Here is a 23,651-nt window from a genome sequence, read left to right as displayed (position 1 = left end):
GCCTGATGCCTGTCCTCTGAGGTCCCAAGGGCAACTACTCCACTTGCAGTTTAGTTTCTGTTAAGTTTTCTGAATCCCCACTAGGTTTAAATATCAGAGATTTTGGAAGCGTTGTCTATTTCATTCCCCTGTGAGCCCCACACATGTAGTGGACAATGAGTAACACAGAAGATTCTCCTTCATATTGAATTTCACCAATGGATTAACGCCTCTCAAACACCTCTCACCTATAATCTTGTCTACTTCCCAAGAAACTCTATCTCTCAATTTGAAGTAGGTTTGAATGTGAAGATGACCATGTTTCTTTTGCTTTCTTCTGTTCTCATGACAGGGTGTGAGCCCTGACTCCTCCCCCACCATCAAGCTTCTTCTCCAGCCTACCCATCCGCAATCCACTCTAGAGACCCTCTCATGGGCCCTGCTCCTCCTGGCTTATCCATACTTCTTTGGTCCTTTTGGACAGTGTTGTGCTCTTAGTTTAAATAAAATATTCTTGTTCACCAAGATTTAGCTCTATTTATAAGGCTCCTTTGGTGAATATTTCAAAATCTTTATTAATTACCATATTTCTTCAATTTTACTATGTGTTACTATGTGTGTGAGTCTTTTTGTTTTGTTTTGTTTTTTGCTTTTCATCACTGTCACTGCTAGGCTTGTGTTAGCCATGACATGATTCAACTTTTCAGCACATGGATGAATACATCCTGAAATTTTATATTGTCACCTTCTCATAAGATCACCATCATCAAAACTACCAGAATGGGTATCAATAAGAAAGGTGCAAATCCCACAATGGTACAGCCTCTTTTTTATGAAAAAGTATGGCTTTCCCATATCTCTTCATGTACACAGGGTGTTGTTAAGGTTTCTATAGCTCTGGGTAAAAAGCTAATTCAGAGTAATCATAATCAGAATACCAAAATATGTGTGACTTAATTTATAAATTAATTTCAATATTACTTTCATTTTTATATGAATAAAACTTGTAAATTCAAAATTCTAAAACGACTTTTTCAGTAAGTATAAGTAAGTCTATTATGTGTATAGTAGTTTGACAGAGATATTATTCTTTTAGATCCTTCTACATCTTTGATTCATCGACATACAGTGAATGTTCCCAACGAGACACTACAGACATTACATATTCACCAATCTGACTTCCCCTTTAGTGATACAAAGGCCAGCTCACTTGTCCATCTTTCTCTGTGAGTGTGATGCACATTGTTCCTTACTCAGTTTCATATGGGCAACGAGATCCATACAGGTGGTGGTACAGTAATGATAGAGTAGTTGCTGGAAGAATGAAACAAAACATTGTGGAAAAATTTATTGGGATTAGATATGGCTTATCACATGTAAAAATGGACAATCTTTCTGGAATGATGGACTGCAAGACAGTGCACATCTAACAATGACATCTGAGAGATGTGAAACAATGATATGAGGGTTACTATTGCCTCAGGTTACTGCCTGGGGAGAATTTCCAGGATATGGTGTAGCACGGACTCTGGAAAACACCCTGAGTTGAGAAGATGGAACTGAGAGTCTGGGGAACAAAGTGGCTGAATTTCATGAAGCCATTCTCCACGTGCAGTGGTAGGAATAGGAGAGAGCACTCATGCCAACACGCATGCAGGCTGGACTATGGTGCCATCATTACTCCACTGAGACACAGTTCACAGGAGTACAGGAGTGGTATAGAAACACAAAGCAAAGATACAAAGAGAAGTAATTTGAATGAACTTCACCTTCACCCTTTCATCTAATTTCCTACTGCAAAAAGACAAAGCTTTTAATGACTCAGTGATCTGGCAACAAGTCCAAAGATGAAGGGATGGCTATTGCTTAGAAATGAAGCAAATGATGTGTTAAGTAGATTCAGTCACCCTACGTGGACACCAACCTGCCTTTCCTATGTTATCCTGTTAGTTGTTGCTCATAAAATCACTGCATTATGAAATAATTAAAATATAGCTATCCACTTACAAGAGTAGAGCATGTTCATCATCTAAAGGAGGAGAAACCAATAAAGCTTTCCACCTCTATTGGTTTTCCTTAAAAATCTCCAGTTTCTTTAACATTTGAACAATATTTTTCTCTGCTTTTCACTACGTACATACCACAGGCTATATAGTATAGGGTTACTCTCTACATGCAGTGAAATTAAGTTAAATTGTAACTGAGTACCCCATTTTTCTAAAAATTATCTTTGTCTTTTTTTCCCCTCTATGTTCACCTGTTACTTAGCTCCTTAGAAATGCAAATGTAACCTTTTTCCCTCCATCCTTTCCACCAGGGAGATAACCAGCAAGCATTGCCAGCTTATCTAAGTATGTGCTTGCTTAGAAATTACAAAATGTTGAACAAAAACAGGCATGCTTCAGAATTCTCCCCCACAAGGAGATTGTCTCAAGACATCAGTTAATCCACAACCCAACTCTGTCTTTAATGATGCTGGCCAGGCTAACAGATGACCCACGATTACAGATAAGTCCTCTAGCAAGTCACGTAGACCCTGCACCTCCATGCCCCTTCTGCATGCCCTGTATACCAAAATTTCTCCTTACAATCCTGCTTTCTGCCCAGAAAACTGAAGTGGTTCCTTGAGATATGAAACTGGCCCTTCCCCTTGCTAAAATCCGGAATAAAGTCACGTTCTTTTTCCAACCCTTTGACTTATTATTTGATTTTACAAGTGGCCACTGCCCAACCTACATTCTGTAGCACAATGGTACCTGACTATAATATAACAGATGAGGGACACTTCTTTCTATTTTTTTAACCAGGATCTGTAAATGAAATTTTCTGTTTATGCTATTAAAGCCCATAGACCCTGACTACAGCCACACCTAGCAGAACAAGTGCCCATCTGTTAATACAGAACAAAAGTCCCGATAGAATATCAATGTTTTTCCTCTGTTGATTGCTCATGTCTCACACGTCTTGAACAAACGTCTCCAATCTTTGCCTAAGTTTTGACTAAGACAACAAAAGTAAAATCTAAAAAATTCACAAGCATGAAAACGTTTTGAGACTATTAAGCCGGATGAAAATGATAATAAATAAAAGATTGAAATTCCTTTTTGTAAGCTAATGGCACAAAAACATTTTCTGATTACAGCACATGAGGTACACATTTTCTAACTGGTATTTTTTACATCTCTGAGAACTAAAAATGAATTTAATAATCACTCATCAAAAATAAGAAAATAATTCATATCTAATAGAATCTAATAGAATGGGTGATCCATACAGAGAACTGTCAAGTACACGTACATGGAGGTGAAGTGGAAGGAATTATGGAGTCCAGTCAATGTCTAAATCTTTTGTACAAGGAGAAAATGAAACATCATGAAGTTCACACCTGCACGGTTAAGAAGAGGTTGCTCCTTGCATTCAGATGTAAAGTCTAACTTTCCTGCCACACAAATCAATACCTTGTTGACCTTTCACATGTACAGCAAACTAAGCCATAGAATAGAAAGTTTGACAGATCTTTTTAAGCATAAGAAGATCTTCTTAATGTGGGACAATTTTGCCTTGTGGCTTACAGAATAGTTTCTGTCCTTCTTTTTAACCAGAGCTATTTAAGAGAAAATTTCTGGAAAATCATAAAATAGAATGTGTATCATCTGTCATTTCTAATAAAGTGATATTAACATTCAATTTATGAAAGAGCAATAGAAGTAAAGATGAAAATAATTGATATGGTTCATTGAAAAATAATTATGAATGCATTTTTAAAATAGAGAAATAAAGGCCTTAAATCTACAATACAAAAATAAATATTTGGTTTTAGATGATATTTACATGACCAAAAAAAGAGAATATTTATACACAAGTGTTTAAGACATTTGCACAACAAATTAAATCAAAATCAAGGAGAAATATCACAACGTAAAATCTAAAGTCTTAAGGTGTCATTGGTAAGCAAGCAGAATCATTTTTGAACAAACTCAGCCTTTTTTAAAAGACTTGAATTCCCTACCTCAACCCACAACCAAGGCAGGGAGCTGCTGTCCTTGTGCATGCAGAGCCCCCAGAGAGGCTCTGAGCTCAGAGGCTCCCCTGTGAACCTGCCTCTGTTGGGCATGGTCTGGAGGGGGACCCTGTTCACAGGATCATCTACAGCAGGGCAGGAGGGAGCCAAGGCTGCCTCTCCAGGTTTTCAACAACATTGGCTGTTGTCAAAGATACTGAATACATAAAGTGGGTAGTGGTGTTGGGAGACTGCCTAAGATTCACAAGGACGTAGAGATTTCAGAGTCAATGGCAACGCTCTAAAGTTGTATATCCACAGCCTCATTCAAGGTACAGCTGAAAGGATTGCTGTAGGTGCAAGGCATGCAGCTCTGAACTTCTTTCACCTCATTATAGAGCAGCTCAGTGGTTAAAAGAACAGGCCCTGGGCCAGGCACAATGGATCATGCTTGCAATTCCTATGCTTTGGGAGACTAAGGAGGGTGGATTGCTTAAGGCCAGGAATTCTAGAGCAGCCTAGGCAACAAAGACAGACCTCCTCTAATAACATCATTATATTATAATTACTGGAAAAAAAGCTGTTTTCAAAACATATATATGTGGATATTTCTCGTCTTTTGTCACTCCTATGATTACATGGGATGGAACATATAAGGAAAATACACCAACAAAGGTTTTCCTAAATTTTCTCCCATTCAGATCCAACTCTCCTGAATCACTCTTCAATTCATCTTGCTCATGGTGTTACCCATGTTATCATCATTTGTGCTAATCTGAAGCTTTGGTGATGCTGCATTTCCTGTGATATTCCTATGTTGCTCCTGCGAGTTTCTATTTTCAACCTTCTGAAACCTCCTATGCAAGATTTGATGCTGATGCTGATGATATCACCCAAAAACGTCGACAGGAGGTTTGCAGACCAAGCTCATACACAGGTAAATGAGGACAATCACTTTATGACTGCCTTCTCATCAATAGTGTTTTAACACTTTCAAATTTAAGATGCATCTGCATTTGATAGATGTGAAAATGTGCACTCTACGATGAATGGAATACACTGTGTTCTCTGTGACTGCTCATTTCTCAGTGTTAAATTATGGTGGCTCATTGGCTATACTCTTGTTTGTTATTGAGGAAATATGCTTAAATCTTATCACATAAATTTATAAACTGCATTTATATTCTACCTGGAAGCTTCACCGCTGTCCTCCATTAGGGAAGTCCAGTTTGTCCACTTCCAATTAAAGTGAGTGTCCAGAGAGGTGTTATAAACTGCATTTATAATTTTAGACACATTAGAGTTGTTAGTGGAGTACTAGAATTCTTATGTCACGTATGGAAATATAGTTCTATGAACCATGGTTTAAGAAATCCATTGAAGACAGAGATGAAAATTGTAAAGAGCTACTTGAAAAATTCACTGGCGTGGTAGCTCTCTAAAGACCTGGAAAAAGCTGTATTTTGAAACTTTAAGCTTTAATCTTAGAAATATGAGCAACGCTTCCTGTAAACTTCATTACAGATTCCATTATTTTAGGTGTAACATTTGTGTATCTTTTTCTTCATTCACATTTGTCCTTTTAATCACATGGCTGGTGATCGTAGAAAGCACCTTATGATTAGTCACTGTAGAAGTGAATGCATAATGGTCTTTATAAGATATTTTGATCCGTCCCCTTGCTACTCTGGTCAACTCTACTTTGGGTACTTGGATATTGGAATTGGTTTCGGTGTCCCCTCATGAGTACACTGAGTGATAAAAAAACTCATACAGTCACAGTTAAGGGGGTTGACTGAAATTTCACCTGGAGTTTTTGACTCCGGGAAGGTTGAATTAAGTAAACACAAAGTCATGTCATTACATATATGAGACATTCCTTCCTTGAACTCAATCTTCTTATCAGGTTAGAGTGTGGAGACAGAGCACTGGGTTTGCCTCATGATGTCGTCTAAAAATGTGGTTTGTTTACAACAGCATCTTTTGTAGACTTGTGGTGTCCAGACCAGCCTCTATACAACTGTTGATTTAGGATACTGTGAGAAATCATATCTTCCATGCAGTTAAAGTTTGTCTAGGGACTCAGTGCTCAGCACTTTGTCATCTGTGCCTGTGACATCCTGCTATTCAAGATTTATGGATGTCAATGGGAGTTCAATATGTAGTTCCATGGCTTTGTAGGCCTTTTAGGCATGGTTCCTGAAAACAACTCTGCTGCTACTAAGAAGAGTGCAATGGCCTCTTAATAGGAAGCTGTGTGGAGAATTAGTGGGCAGCCAGTACACATGCAGAGTCATCAGTCAGCCTGTTTCTGTCTCTCAGATCACTGCATGGAGGGTTGGAGATATGCTATATACTGTTATTTTATTTTATTGTTTTTTTGCCTACTGAGATTTCTCTTCTTGTGCCCAACATGTATGTATCACTCAGTAGCATTCACCTGCAAAAACTCTGTTATAAAGTTTTATTCCCAGGCCTCTGGAAGCAGGGACTGCCCTAAAGCAACTTATTAGAAATATTTTTTGTACTCTGCTTACCTGCTATCTTGATGGCTTTAGGGTTGGCCAAGGGCAATATAATTCCACCATGTGAGTATCAACAGAGTGCACAGTCCTGCACAGTTCCTGATGGAGCCTGTAGAATGAAGAGAACTAAATTAGAACAGGTTTTCTGAAAGGTTTGAAGGTAAAGTTGACCTTGGGTTACTTGAAGAAGAAATCCCCGTACCAAGAAAACATGATCCTGAATGCAGAAATATGATTTCTGTTCCCTGTCACTGAAATTTCTTATTCTTGCCTTATATCATCTGGAAGTCATGTCTTCCGAAAAGGTTAGTGGGATCCTGAATACACTCTGCTAAATGCTGTCCTAAAATGAGGCTTTCTGGGATATGTGAAAAACAGGCATCTTCCTTTCAGGAAGTGGATGCTGACGCTCTAATGACTAGGTAGTGGGGAAGGAGAAAGAGGATGAGTCCTTGGAGCTTGATGGTACCTTCCTGAAGGAGTGGCACCTGGGTTTCGAATGTTGCCTAGAAAAGAAAAGAAAAGCCAGTTTACTATTCTCTCCCTACATGCCCACTTGTATCTGGAGGCAAAAGTTTTTTGCTGATGTCTTTACTTGCTTACTTTTCTTAAAAAAATAATAATAATATTAAAAAACATATTTATTTTGAAATAACTGCAGATTTACATAAATGCACATAGGTAAGTACAGACAGTTTCATATACCATTCAGATAACTAGAATGTTAATATATATTGTAACCATAGCATATTCATGAAAACTAAGAATTTAACTGTTTTTCAAGACTATTAACTGATCTACAAACTTCCTTCATATTTTACCAGGTTTTCTAATAATCATATACTTATCTATTCCAGGACCTAATCCAGAATACCACCTAACAATTACTGTCAGGTATATTACTTACTACTTGGTGCATAACAAATTACTACATACCTTAGTGGCTCAGAACCACACACATACTACTCACGGTTTCTCTGGGTCTTCGGTCTAGATGTAGGGGATGGCTCAGGCTGAGGCTCAGCTGGGGAAGGGTCTCCTTCCAAACTCACATGATTGTTCTTAGGATTCACCTCCCTGCCCTCATCAGGAACTCATTGATGTGTTATTAAAATCACTTAAAATTAATACTAATTTATCAAAAATATTTCAAAACAATACAATAATAATAAAGAAGTAGAAAATAGATCACTTCCCATTGTATACTATGAATTAGTTTACCCTGATTGAACAACTACACAAAGACATTTCAAATAAGGAGAATGAAGACCAATATGCCTTATAAATACAGAGACAAAAATCAGCAGCGAGATATTATCAAATGAAATCAGCAACATGTAGAAAGTATTATAAACTATGGCAAAAGGTATTTACCTCAGGAATGCAAATTTGGTTCAACATATGATACAATTAATGTCATACACTATATTAATAAAGAATAAAAACTACACAATCGTCTCAGAAGGTGTGCAACAAGCACTTGAAAATTCCCAGATTCAGTATTATAAAAACATGCAGCAAATTAGGCAGATAAGAGAACTTTCTTCATTTCAAAGGGCATCTATGAAAAGCTCACATATCATCATAAGTAATCTGAAAGGTTCACTAATTTCTCTGATATTAGAAAGAAGTCAAATATTTCCACTGTTGACACTTGTTCGCAACATTGTACTGGAGAATGTAGACAGGGCAATTCATTTAGAAAAATAAATATAACGTTTCTAGTATGGAAAGGAAGTCAAACTCCGACTGTTTGCAAATGACATGATCTCATGTATAAAAAGTCCAAAGGACTCTATCAAATATGTTTAGAATTTAAAGATGAGTTCAAAGAAGTTTGCAGCATATAAAATATATAAAATATTTTAAATTTCTCTATACTAGCAATTAACAATCTAAAAACAAAACTCAGAAAATCGTTCCAATTAAGATCACATCAAAAATACTTAGGAATAACCTTATCAAATTAAGTATAAGATATGTACACTAAAAACTACAGAATGCATATTGTTAGGTTGGCAATATTTTCCAAATGGATCTATAGAATTAATGCAACTTCTCTCAAAACACCAGGTGGCATTACCTTCCCCTAAATTCAGAAGTTTATCCTAAAATTATATATAATATAGATCATGAGCAGCCAAAACACTCTTGAGAAGGACAAAAAGGGTTTGCATAGTAGACATATGCTTCTTGATTGCAAAACTTACTACAAAGTAATAGTAATCAAGATTTGTGGTACTAGTATAGGGATATATGTATTGATCAATGGAGTAGAGAATATAATACTGAAAAATGAATCCCTACATTTATGGTGAAATGCTTTTATACTGTGGCCAAATAAATTAGGTATGAAGCAATATTTTCTTGTCAAATGTTTGTGGGTCAAGTGGATATCCACATGCAAGTTAGACTCTTGCCTCATACCAGAAACATAATTGACTCAAAATGATAATCCATCTAAATATAAGAGCTAAACAGGGCCAACCCATAAAAAGGAACACAGGAATACATCTTTGTGGTCTCTGGTTAAACAATGTTTTAAGATATGACACTGAAAAGCACAAAGGAAAGAAGAAAATATAGAAATATTAAACTTCATTAGAATTAAAATCTTTTGCAATTTAAAGTCCACCATCAAATATAAAGAGGCACCCAAAGAATGGCAGAAAATATGTGAAAATTGCAAATTTTATAGGTGATAATGGTCTATTATCCAGAATATACAATGTCTTACAACTCAAAATTAAAAAGGCAAATATCCCAATCAAAAATGGCAAAATCTTAAATAGCCAACTCTCAAAAGAAAGCCATAGTCATATCCAAAATCACATGAAATTATGCTCAATGTCTTTTGTCATTATGAGGTAGGAGACTGGAAGGACTTGTTTTCTGGTTTCACAACCTTGATGACCAAAATAAGATCTGCTCCAGACAGGATAAAGGGAAAAAACTGACAGAAGCGTGTACATTGTGGTAAATGTGATCCCTGGCAGTCTTCATTTGTCACTCATATGACACTCCTACCAACCACATAACTGTTTACAAATTCCATGGCTACAGCTCAGAAGTTACTGCCCCTTTCCATGGAGACAACCTAGAAGTCACTGCCCCTTTCCTGCCTCAATTTGCATTGATCTGCCCCTCAATTTGCATATAATTAAAAGTGGGTTTGATTGCATATAAACACAGTTGCCAGGAGGCCTATATGTTGCCAACTCTGAACACACTGCTTAAGAGTTAGCCCTGCTCTGCTAGGAGCAGTACCATTCAATAAAATATTGCAGTCTAACATCACCCACTTGCCCTTAAATTCTTTCCTGGACAAAGCTAATAACCCTCTCAGGATAAGCCCCAATTGTGTGACTCACCTGTCCTACAACAATTAGGTGAAGGCAAATCTAAAAACCATGAGGTGTACTTCAAAAATCTAAAAAGCATATTGCTAAAAAATATAAGTTGGAAAAGGTAAAATACTGTGAAAAGGCAAACTTGTGACCTCCTAAATAAGGTTTTTAATTTGCATAAATTAGCTACACTCTTTGTGTTACAAAGTTCTTCAGGATTTGGAAAACATTATGATGTATCCACCGTTACAGTATCAAAGAGGAATTTCACTGCCCAAAAGAAATCTTCGGTAGTTCACTGATGTCACCTATATCTCTCCCAAGCCCCTTGTTACCACTGAACTCTACTATCACTACACTTTTTCCTTTTCTACAGAGTCATATGAATGGAATTACACAGTATTTTGACTGTTTCAACTTGTATTTTTCTACATAGCAATATACCTTGTTCAGGTAGCATGATTAAATTAACAACATCAACTTGCTTGCAGGGAGTGCTAGATTACATACAAATGAGAGAATGAGTGGATCCATTTATATGGTGCTGGATTAGGTCATATGGTGTTGGAAACATTCGTAGAAATTATAAAATTACCAAATTACCCTGGAGCACAATTAAATTCATAGACTGGAGCATATAATAGTGACTGAACAAAAGAAAATGCCAAACAACAACAAAACCAACCAACCACACAACATCAAACTTTAATTATGGAGGTATTTCAAAGTGATACAAGAGACAACTTAAAAACCTTCCAATAGCCAACACTGGAACAATTTGTGCAATTAAAAAAAAAAATAGCGGCCAAGCATGGTGGCTCATGCCTGTAATCCCAGCACTTTGGGAGGCCGAGGAGGGTGGATCATCTGAGGTATGGAGTTTAAGACCAACCTGGCCAACATGGTGAAACCCTGTCTCTACTAAAAACACAAAACTTAGCCAGGTGTAGTGTCTCATGCCTGTAATCCCAGCCAGTCAGGAAACTGAGGCACTAGAATCGCTTGAACCCAGGGGGCAGAGGTTGCGATGAGCTGAGATCGCACCATTGCACTCCAGCCTGGGCAACAGAGAAAGGCTCTGTCTCAAAAAAAAAAAAATAGCACATACGCATTGTAAAATAAATCTCCATATTTAGATAATGATATAAATAAAAGATGCATGTATAAATGAATAAATTAATACACATGAAATAATTGGAAGAGAGTAGGCACATGTTTATGGTGAAGGTTTAAAGGAATTTGTAGACATTCTGCCAATAATGAATGTCTACTCTGGTTGACAGTTTGTACCCTTGTTGAGTTTGTACTCTTGGTACGATATGATGAGAATGGCAGTTTTTGGCAAGGCACAGTGGCTCACACCTGTAATCCCAGACTAGCCTGGGCACCACATTAAGACCCCATCTCTATAACAAAATAAATATCACTTGAGCCCAGGAGTTTGACTCTGGCCTGGGCAACATGGTGAAACCTTGCCTCTACCAAAAATCTAACAAACAACAACAACAACAATAAATTAGTCCAGCATGGTGGCACATACCTGTAGTCTCAGCTACCTTGGAGGTTGAGAGGGAAGGATCCTTAAGCACAGAAGATGGAGGCTGTAGTGAGCCAAGCTCATGACACTGCACTCCAGCCTGGGAGAGAGAGTGAGACACTGTCTCAAAATTAAATAAATAAATAAATAAATAAAAATGACACTTTTCCTCGTGATCTTCCTCCCCTAAACCCACAAATCCAGTCTTATCATTAGAGAAACATCAGACAAATCCCACATTAGTAATATTAATGGCATCAAAAATAAGGAAACTCCGAAAAACTGTGACAGTCAGAGAATTCTAAGGAGACATGACATGTACCTGTGATGAGGTATCCTGGATGAGATTCTGGAATAGAAACAGGACATTAAGTAAAAACTAAAAAAAAGTGAGTAAAGTATAAAGAGTAGTTATAGTGTTATAAAACTGATTGGTTGTGACAAATGTCCTACATTAATGTAAGAATTTCATAAAAATGGAAACTTCGTGGGATATATGGAAATTCTATGTACTACATTTACAACTGTTCTGTAAACCTAAAACCATTCTTAAATTTATAAGCTTTCTTTATCTTTAAAGTCACTGCTGACCTTATAAAACAACATGAGCAATATGTCTGATGGCCCTTAGTGCATCTCCTGAGCTTCACCATCTTCCTTAATCACTGAAAGTAGTTATTACTGTGAATTACTTGTTATCCTCTAGTTTGTGTTTATTATATTTACCTCTATGTTTATATTTCTAATATCTGTAATGTTTATTTTTCTGGTCTTCAAACATACATGCATGGTTTTAATGTATTTATGTCCCTAGTTTAATCATGAGAAATCATGAGACAAATTCATATTGTGGGAAAACCTACAAAATATCTGACCTGTACTTTTCAAAAAAGTCAAGTTCACAAAAAATAAGTGAAGACTGAGAAATCTGCAGATTGGAGAATACTTGATGTGTCAGGTAGACCCTACGATGGTGCCCAGTGAACCTCACCTGTAAGAAATACACTGCTTACGTTATTTCATGTGCTCTATTGAGTGGCCTCCTCTGTGTCTCTCATGACCAACACACCTGAACTTAACATTTTTCCAATTCAGAGTTTTCCTAGAAAGTGGTTGTGTTGATATGAATGTAGTGGTCACGGTTCTGAAAAGTGCCATAAGGGCATCTGACAGTATTTAAAAGGTTACAGTAATCCAACCTCAATGCCCATCAATCAATGAATGGATAAGGAAACTGCGGTATATATATATATATATATAATGGACTACTACTCAACCATAAAAAGGAATGAGTTAATGGCTTTTGCAGCAACCTGGATGAGATTAGAGATTATTATTCTAAGTGAAGTAACTCAGGAATAGAACACCAAACATCGTAGGATCTCACTCATAAGTGGGAGCTAAGTTATGAGGATGCAAAGGCATAAGAATGACACAATGGACTCTGGGAACTCAGGAGAAAAGGGTGGGAAGGGGGTGAGGGATCAAAAACTACAAATAGGGTGCAGTGTATACTGCTCAGGTGATGGGTGCACCAAAATCTCACAAATCACCACTAAACAACTTACTCATGTAACCCAAACCACCTGTTCCCCAATAACCTATGGAAATAAAAACAAATTACAGTAAGAAGGATGCCTGGTCAAGGATTGGACAATTAGACATTGAGTCATCTACCAGGATAAATAAGTATCCTATGAAAGGTGCACTGTCAACATCCAGGACCAATATCCTGGGGTCCTGTTAGACAGCGTTATAATTTGAAGCCATTGTCCCAAGAGAGACCTCAAGAGAATATTAGATACTACAAAAATGAAACACAGAAGTAGAGGTAATTTTATAAATCATGGCTCAAAGATCCCATGGAGAAGGAAGATAGAAGTGGTAAAGTGTTACTTGAAAGTTTACAGAGTTGCAGAGTGCAGCTCTCTCAAGACAGAAATACTTACCTTGAGACTGTTTGCCTTAATCTCAGAAATATAAGCAGAGACTATTCGAAGTTGCTTTCCAAATCCAATTCTTCATTTTGATCAACTACCTATCTTTCTCTCTCTCTCTCCTTTTATTCTTCCTATGTCATAAACGATGGTCATGTGAATCTCACTGTAAGCAGTCGCTGCTGACACAGGCACGTTACAGTCATCATGAAATGCTTTGCTCTGACCACTTGTCACTCTTGTCAACTCCACTTGTTGATACTTGGAAAATCAAACAGGCCTTGGTGTTCCCTGAAGACTGTACTGCATGAAGAAGAAACTCACATAATTTATAATTTAGAATGTTGAGCATATTTGCACTGAGAGTTTCAGCTTCTACGAGGGCTCAGTTCAGTGAACAGAAAGCCCTAATTTCAAATATAGGAGTCATGCACCTTTTAAGCTTTATTCTCCATTCAGGGTACAGGGTGGAGAGGGGTTGGGTTCAGGCCTCATGATGTGGTCAGACAATGAGATGTTTTCAATAGCATCTTTCTGAGAATTCTAGTGGCCAATCCAGCCTCAGTACAATGTGGTCACAGGTGGTTTACTGTCTTGTGAGAAATCATAACTTCCATGCTATGGTGGTAGAGTTTGGGAGCTCGGTGCTCAGCACTGTGTTTGTTCTTTATGCCAGGGATATCACGGTAGCACAGTTTTGTGTCTATCACCTTTCCTATCTTAACCCTGGGCATTCAGAACTCATTGACCCTCTTGCTACCTAGAGATGAGTCTCTCCTTAGACACATCTACTTCCATCTCCTTCATGGCCTGCCACTTGGTGATTTTGTTTTTCCTGAATAGTTTGGTGATGAATGATCTTCACAGTACACATCATAACAGACCATATGTATGCATAGAAATGAAGAGAAAAATGGGATTTGACAAGTCACTTACCTTATAGAAACTCCTCTTATAATGAAATGAAACGAGCAAACTTCCATTTACTAAGATTGTCCATATTTTTTTTTTGAGACACAGTCCTGCTCTGTCCCCCAGGCTGCAGTGCAGTGGCAGGATCTCAGCTCACTGCAAGCTTGGCCTCCTGGGTTCACACCGTTCTCCTGCCTCAGCCTCCTGAGTAGCTGGGACTACAGGTGCCCACCACCACGCCTGGCTAATTTTTTGTATTTTATTAGAGACAGGGTTTCACCGTGTTAGCCAGGATGGTCTCAATCTCCTGACCTTGTGATCCGCCCGCCTCAGCCTCCCAAAGTGCTGGGATTACAGGCGTTAGCAACCGCGCCCGGCCTGAGATTATCAATTTAAATGAGGCTCTCCTTCCTATGGGGTGAATTGTAAGCTCAGAGGGGTAAGAAGGTTTATTGAATTATAAATGTCCCAAATAATAGCACCTGAATTACTGCTACGATCTTCTCGGAAGTAAGAAATATGGTCAAGGGCAGCTGTATCTCTTACTCCACATCTCCTGGATGCAGGAATTTATTTTCTCACTGGAGCTATGAAGCTGGTACGGAGAATGTAGCCCATGATCACGGTCTGAAAAAGCAAAAAGAGTCCTAACTTCGTGGATGTCCTTGGGAGTGTAGCACACAGTCCCATGGCTTAGTAAGCTTTGTGGACATTGTTCCTGGAACAACCCTGGTGCTCTCCCGTAAAGTGGTGTGGCCTGTGAACGGGGAGCTATGTGGGTGATGAGGGGACAGTCCTCCCTGCTGTGGGGATCTTTGTTTAACCAGTACAGATGCAAAGTCAGCACTCAGCCCGTGTCCATCTCTTAGATCACTACATGGTGGGCTGGGCTATGTTGTACTGTGCTCTTCTTCCCTTTTTTCTATTAGGCTATTTCCACCTCTGCACAACACACTCTGTATCACTAACATGCCTCACTTTCATATGCCTGGTGTCTAAAGGTTCATTTCAGGTCTCTGTAAGCAGGAATTAGCCTACAACCCCATGATTAGAAGCTTTTATTTTCATACCTAGTGAACCTTCTACACTATGATATTGTCTATGCTGCAGCTTTTGGGCCTCTCACTGGACAAAAGAAATCCATGATGTTATAGCATCAGGGGACTGTGTGATGCCATGAATTCATGATGAAGTCTGCATAATAAAGAGAACTTAATTATCATAGGGTATTCTCAAAGGCTTTAAAAAACTTTGAAACTTGAACAAAAGAATCTCTGAACTAAGAAAACACTCCTAATGTAGAAATATTATTTATGTTCCCCATCACTGGTGTTTCTCAATCTTGTCTGGAAGTCATGTCTTCCAAAATGTCTCTAGTGAGATCCCACAAAGACACTACCACAAAGTGTCTGAAAATAGGGCCTTCTAACACATGTGGGGCAGGCACCTTTCTTTGAAAAAGTGGTTACTGATGTATGAACTGGTGACTGGGTAATGGAGCATATGATGGGAAAGAAGAAAATGGATGAGAGTCCCTGGAGCTTGATGAGGCGCCTGAAGCCTGAAGCAGGTGCCCTGTGTAGGAATGGGGATAATAAGGCAAGTACTTTGCCTTTCACTCCCTGCATCTCCACTCATCCTCTGATCCAAGGTTTCTTGTTGTTTATGTCCATCTGTGTTGGTATTTTTTTTTGTTCCTAAATAATACATTTTAAGAACATTTTTATTTGAAAATAATTTTAGTTTTACAGAAACTTGCAAAGATAATACAGTTTTACATAATCTACAGCTTCCTGAAATGTTAACAACTTATGTAACCAGAATGTATTTATGAAAACTCAGAAATTGACAGTGGTACAAAACTATTAACTGAAATACAGACTTTCTTAATATTTTGCCAGGTTTTCCACTGATGTCATTTTCTGTTCTAGAATTTAATTACATTTACTGTCAGGCATATTACCTATAGGTCGCTGTATAACATATAACCGAACAGCTTAGATGTTCAAACCCACACATAAATATTATTTAACATTTTCTCTGGGTCAGATGTCCCAGGCTGAGGTTTCAAGTGAAGCCTCCCCTGGGGAAGGATCCCTTTCCCAGCTCATGTTAGTGTTGGTAGGATTCAATTTTTTTCTAGGTTGTGATGACTTCACTGGTGAATTATTCTAACCCCTTTGAGAATTAATAACAATCCCTTATTAACTAATCTTTCAAGAAAAATTATAAAAACAGAGGAGTAGAGAACACTTCCCAATACGCCGCACGAAGCCCGTTTTCCCTGATAGCACAACTGGACAAAGAGATTTCAAGAAAGGAAAATTACAGACAAATACGCCCCATGAAACAGAGGCAAAAATTCTGAAGGAAATACTATCAAAATAAACCTGTAGCCTAATAAAAATATACATTATGAGCAAAGTCATTTGTCCCTGAAATATGTTTTCTTAAACATAAAAAAACTATTAGTGTAATACACTATATTAATAGAATGAAGGACAAAAGCTTCATAATTATCTCTAAAGATACAGAATAAGCAGTTGAAAAATCCAAAACACATTCAAGATAACAAGGCTGAGCAAATTAGGCATGGAAGGAAATTTTCTTAAGTGATAAAGGGCATCTATGAAAAACTCACACAACAACACAACATATGATGAATGTTTCAGTAATTTCTTCAAAAAATTAGCAACAGGACAAGGATGTATGCTCTTGCTACTTTTATTCAGTATTGTACTGGAACATGCAGCCAGGGTAATTAGGCAAGAAACATAAATATAAGACTTCTAGAATGAAAAGGATGAAGTTAAGCTATCTCTATTCATGAATGACATAATCCTGTGTATAGAACATCTTAAGGAATAGTGCCACAATAAATATACGTGTGCATGTGTCTTTATAGCAGCATGATTTATAATCCTTTGGGTATATACCCAGTAATGGGATGGCTGGGTCAAATGGTATTTCTAGTTCTAGATCCTTGAGGAATCACCACACCGACTTCCATAATGGTTGAACTAGTTTACAGTCCCACCAACAGTGTAAAAGTGCTCCCATTTCTCCACATCCTCTTCAGCACCTGTTGTTTCCTGATTTTTTAAAGATCGCCATTCTAACTGGTGTGAGATGGTATCTCATTGTGGTTTTGATTTGCATTTCTCTGATGGCCAGTGATGATGAGCATTTTTTCTTGTGTTTTTTGGCTGCATAAATGTCTTCTTTGGAGAAGTGTCTGTTCACATCCTTCACCCACTTTTTGATGGGGTTGTTTGTTTTTTTCTTGTAAATTTGTTTGAGTTCATTGTGGATTCTGTATACTAGCCCTTTGTCAGATGAGTAGGTTGCAAAAATTTTTTCCCATTCTGTAGGTTGCCTGTTCACTTTGATGCTGGTTTCTCTTTGAGAGATAGCATTGGGAGATATACCTAATGCTAAATGATGAGTTAATAGGTACAGTACACCAGCATGTCTCATGTATACATATGTAACAAACCTGCACGTCGTGCACATGTACCCTGAAACTTAAAGTATAATAATAATAAGAAAAAATCCTAAGGAAATCACTAAAATAAGATTAGAACCAAAAAATGAGTTCACTAACACTTTAGTATACTAGGGCAATAAAAATCAATTCTACTTCTATATATTGTCAGTTAATCTAAAGTAAAACATAGAAAACACTTCCATTTAAAATATTGTCAAAAAGAAATAGACACTTGGGGGCAAGGGGAACAACCTAAGAAATATAAAAATAAGGAGAGATTCTCAGTTTAAATGTCAAAGTATCCGTACATAAATTGTCTTCTTTAGTTAGAAACATTCTTTCCCATGGGGGTATGAATTTACAATTCTAAAACTACTCTACATGTATTTTGGACTCATTGATTATATAAAGGAGGACAACTATCTCACTGTTAGCGTGGGAGGTTACATACAAGTAGTGGGAATGGGGAAATTGATTCATATGGTCTTGAATTAGATCACAGGTGCTGGAAACATTAATAAGAATTCATGCTGAACTTTACATAGGAATAAATGGAGAAATGTTGTAGAAATGCATATACGTATGTGAGTGTGAGTTACATACATACATATAATCCTTTGCTCTGTCAGATGACAAAGCATAGAATTAACAGACGCCTAGCAGAAATGACAACACCATTGCCGAGACCTTTGTTTCTAATGCCATTCACCGAAAAAGGAACTAGGAATTTGCGGGAAAATGGTTAATGGCGTGGCTGGGAAGGGAATCAACACTATTAAGCTTAAGTACCTCGTAGTGCCAGAAAGTAAGAAAAAGTTAAACAACACAACCAACCAACACACTACACAAACCAAATCAAATAGCAATAATATGGGTATTTCAAAGTGGTAAAGCAGCTGACTGAAAGGACTTTCTAATGACCAGCACTAGCGCAATTTGAACAATACAATAAACTAGTCTAATCACAGTGGAAATAAATATTTATTATTTGCCAATATTCCACATAATATAAATAATTGATTAAATAAATGTAAAATAAATGCTGGAGAACAGATACATTGCCTATGGTAATGAAATACAAATGATACTATAGAAGTTCTGCCCTAAGGAGGTGGAGAATAATTCCCCAATGTTAAGTATGCGCTGTGCATGTGACGTTTTTTTCAAAAAGTACGACATCGAAAGGGGGAAAATTAATTTTACCGTGGAGAAACTGGACCCACACTGCCTCATCCAGGTGCTCAAATTAGTATCAATAGTGATAAAAGCATTTTGAGAATATATGCCCATGGTATAATGAGTATTACACTCACCCCTGTCTCTTCTTCCACATCTACAACTTCAGTCTAATTGTTAGTAAAAACAATCATAGAAATCCTAAATGGAGGATGTCAATGCCACGAAAAACATGGAAATTCAGAGAAACTGCAGAGACAAAAAAAGCTTAAGGAGACATGATATCTAAATGTGTTATCCTGGAAGAGATCCTAGAACAGAAAACAAACATTAAGTAGGAAAAAAAGAAATCTGATTAATATGTGGATATCAGTGAATGAGAATGCATAATGTTGGTGTGTTAATTGTGGCAAATACCCATGCTCATATAAGAGGTTAATAATGATGGAAACTCTGTGTTGGTTGCATATTAACTCTCCATGCTGACTATGCAACTGTTCTGTAAGTCCAAAGCTAACATAAAATAGAAAAGTTTTTTTCTTTTTTTAAAAATTAACTGCTGACCTTAACAAACTGAATATTATCAATATTGTCGATGCCCCAAATGTGCAGCTCCCCAGTTTGATGGCATTTTTTACCCCCATGAAGGTTACTATTATTTTCAGTTTCCTCTTTGTCATTTCCTTTTTATATTATTTTTATGTCTAGGTTTATATTTCTAAATAATATGTTGTTGAGTTTTCATTATCTTCAAATTAAGATAAAGGTGTTCAAAACAAGTCTATAATTCTATTCAAATAATGAAAAATCATCAGATGAATCCACATTGTGATGATTCCTATAAAATACCTGACCAGTTCTTTTCTTAGAGGCTCAGATTCTTCAAGATAAACGAAGACTGGGAAACTGTTGCACATCAGACAGGACCTGATGTGGCTGGTAGATCTTAAGATGGTGCCCAATGATCCCCACCTGCCAGGGTGCATGACCTTGTATTGTAATCCTCTCCTTGTGAGTATGGGCATGAAATGTGACTTGCTTTCATACAACACAATAATACAAGAATATTAGATGTCACACGACTGATCATGTCACGTAAAGTTGTGATTTTTTTCTTTTTTGTCTTGCTAGCAAGCTCTTTGCCTTGATGGCTTTGATAGAGCATTCTGCCACGTGGGAGAAGTCCACATGGGAAGAAACTGAATGCAGCCTCTGGTCAACAGCCAGCAAGGAACTGAGGCTGCCCTAGAGTTTGCAATTTAAGTTTCTGACTAATCCAAGCCCCCTTTTAAGTAACAATATATCACATAAGATGTAGTGTGAACACCTTACAGTAACAGAATAACCCACATTCATTCCATCACTTATTGCAGTTATTCATCTTACTTATATAAGCATAAATGCACATAAATATTTGTATGTATATATGTATGCACACACAATGATATATATTTAACCATATCTAATCAAATATATTCATACTACTATTGTTTTTAACAAGCTGTTCTTTGTTAGATTAATTAAGAATAAAATTATTACCTAGATTAGCCATTAAAAAGGTAAAAAAAAAGATACGCTAAGAAATGAGATGAACTGATATAAAGTGCTCAAAACAACAAAAGGTAGAAAATGAGTGAAATACAAAAATAGGAACAAAGACAAACCAACAACTGAAAGATAGTAACAAATTTGGTAGATTTTTAATCCAACTATATCAATAATCAATTTAAATGTCAATGTTCTAAATGCACTACTTAAAGGACAGAATGCATCAATAAAAGAGGGCATGGGATAGAAAGAATAAATTCATGTAACATGTTACAATCTGAGAAACACGAGAACATCAGGAGGTTTGCAGGAGAATATCAAAGAACTTTCAAGAAGTCACGCAGATAGGCCAAGCATGGTGGCCAACACCTGTAATCCCGGCACTATGGGAGGCCGAGGAGGGTGGATCACTTGAGGTTAGGAGTTTGAGACCAACCTGGCCAACATGAGGAAACCCCATCTCTACTAAAGATACAAAAATTAGCTGGGCATGGTGGCACCTGCATGTAATCCTGGCTACTCAGGAGGCTGAGGCAGGAGAATCGCTTGAACTCGGGAGGCAGAGGTTGCAGTGAGCTGAGATGGAGTCACTGCACTCCAGCCTGGGCTACAAGAGCAAAACTCCATCCCAAAAATAAAATAAAATGATAAAATAAAATTAAGACCAAAACTGACAGCTTACAGGTAGGGGATTTTAAAGACACAGAGGCAGGGGTAATACATAGTCATAAATTAATATATTGAGGTTACACATTGGTTTTAGACTAAAAGGATGAAGTATCTTGAAGTGGAAGCTTACAGGTCATAGGGGGATTCAAAGATTTTCTGAGTGTGATTATTCAAGAAAGTAAAATTTGTCAGAAAATTTGGAATCTGCAGAAAAATAATGGTATGTCTGGCTCATAGACATAACATCCTGTAGGCCCCTCAGGAAGAAATTCAGAATAAAGAATGGCAGAGTTCATTTCATAGATCCCCTTTATCTGAGGTCTATGTGCCAGTGGATCCATTTGGTAGAGGCGCAGCTTTCTGAACAACAACTCAGGGACATATGCTAAGCTTTGATTTTTAGTTTCCATAGGGAACCCCATATTCCCATGACTCTCCATTCCTTGCTACTGTTTTAACTTCTTGCTTGTGAAGTGGCTCGTGTACTTCTCAGAGGTAGAGAGGTGCCTGGAATTTCTGTGAAGGGACTCAAGATTTTCCTTTATTTCCATGCTTCGGGTGGTACACAGGCCCCTATAAGGGGTCCCTGCACCTTCTCAGGACCTAAATGAATCCTCATCTGCTTGTGGGACTCCTGAATTTCTTCTACCATTTTCTTGTTTTTGTACGGCTTGCTGCTTTCAGGTAAGAATATTCCTGTTCAACCTTGGAGGATGAATCTCATCTTCACTGGCCAAGACATTTGGATGACTATTCATATATGAATTATGTCAAGAGTGCCAAAGTTCGGTATAAAATAATACACATCAGTTGATCCACTATTATTTAATAGAAGGTGGGTATATACTGACTATGTCAATGAAAATGGAGATACAAATAGTTGCCAGCAGAAAAATATTTTTAAAATATTAAGCTAAATGAGAAAAAATAATAAAATATTTTAACACCCTTCCTAAAACTGATTGTTACAAATATATTTGCTGAATAGAACAAAATTATGTGTACATTTTCTAAGTGGCATTTTAAAAATTTGTCACTGAGACTATTTATTACTGACTCAATTTCAGAGCCATTCTTGGTCTGTTTAGGGATTCAGTTCCTCCCTGGTTCAGTCTTGGGAGGGTGTATTTGTGCAGGAATTTTTCATTCTTTCTAGATTTTCTAGTTTATGTCCATGGAGGTGTTCATTACATTCTCTGATGGTTGTTTATATTTCTGTGGGGTCGGTGGTAATATCACCCTTGTTGTTTTTATCAACAAGGTTTTATCAAATAAAACCAAGATTGCATTTATTTGAATCTTCTCAACGTCACTCATTACTAGAGCAATGCAAATCAAAAACAACATCAAATACAATCTAACACCCGCCAGAATGGCTATATTAAAAAGTCAAATATAAGAAATAACAAATGGTCAAACAAATAACAGAGACTGGCAAGATTGTGGAGAAAAAGGAACACTTATACAATGTTGGTGGGAGTGTAAATTAGTTTAACCACTGTGGAAGACAGTGTGGTGATTCCTAAAAGACCTAAAGACAGAACTTCCATTTGACCCAACAATCCCATTTCTAAGTATATATCCAAAGGAATATAAATCACTCTGTTATAAAGACACCTGAACACATATGTTCACTGCAGCACTATTCACAATAGCAAAAACATGGAATCAATCTCAATTGTCCATCAACAATAGACTGTATAAAGAAAATGTGGCACATATATACCATGGAATACAACGCAGCTATAAAGAAGAACCAGATGATGTCTTTGCAGGGACATGAATGGAGCTGCAGTCCATTATTCTTAGCAAGCTAACACAGGAACAGAAAACCAAATACCTCCATGTTCTCTTATAAGTGGGAGCTAAATGATGAGATCACATGGACACATAGAGGGGAACAACACACTCAGAGTTCCTGAAACCATCGGTCTGGTTTCCAATGAATGGGGCAATCAGACACACAAGCACACCAAGGCTTAACCATCCTGGCCACTGGAAGGGAAAGAAACTACCCAGGAATGCCACCTGCTTCCAACTAGCTGATCCCATGATAGGGGCTCTAGGGAATTTCTCTTTACCTGCCGAGATGTTTTTGTCTTGGGGAACTTCCTTTCTCTTCTTCCCACTGCACCAGCTGCTGACTACACTTCCTTACCACATGGCAAGTGACATCTGAAGAGGCTGACAGACTTCAGAGCTGGGTAAGGCAACCAGAATACCCCTGAACTGCCTCTGCCTGTTCTGTGATGTCACCTGAGCTCTGCTCTGTTTAGATACAGCTGATTGTGACATCATCTGGGCGTGTATGTTATCTGTATCTATGTCAAGACCTGGGCTTTGCTCCACTTGGAGTCAGCTGATTGGCGGGAGGGCATCTGAAATTGAGAGGAGGTTTCAGGACTTTTACCCAGACCTTTAGTGGGGATCTGTCCGGGACTGTGCAGTCTGAATCTGCAACTGTAAAAGTGTACAATATCTACATTTAGGCCCCCATCTCTGTCTCTCTCTCCTCTTCCTTCTTTCCTCTGCAA

The 23,651-nt window shown here is 37.6% G+C and overlaps 1 long non-coding RNA gene across 1 annotated transcript in view; it reads right to left on the bottom strand.

The window, feature by feature from the left end:
- Positions 1-23,363, bottom strand: part of PWRN1 (Prader-Willi region non-protein coding RNA 1) — a 29,624-nt gene extending 6,261 nt beyond the window's left edge. The window contains exons 1-8 of the long non-coding RNA NR_026646.1: positions 23,199-23,363; positions 14,720-14,864; positions 13,338-13,623; positions 11,711-11,737; positions 11,392-11,488; positions 6,707-7,010; positions 6,517-6,613; positions 1,190-1,293 (exon numbers count right to left, since the gene is read on the bottom strand). This is a non-coding gene — a long non-coding RNA (Prader-Willi region non-protein coding RNA 1). The remainder of the gene's footprint in view (positions 1-1,189; positions 1,294-6,516; positions 6,614-6,706; positions 7,011-11,391; positions 11,489-11,710; positions 11,738-13,337; positions 13,624-14,719; positions 14,865-23,198) is intronic.

The sequence above is a fragment of the Homo sapiens genome, chromosome 15 (assembly GCF_000001405.40).
Source record: "Homo sapiens chromosome 15, GRCh38.p14 Primary Assembly".
Classification (NCBI taxonomy): domain Eukaryota; kingdom Metazoa; phylum Chordata; class Mammalia; order Primates; family Hominidae; genus Homo; species Homo sapiens.
This window is presented reverse-complemented; position numbering and strand designations above follow the sequence as displayed.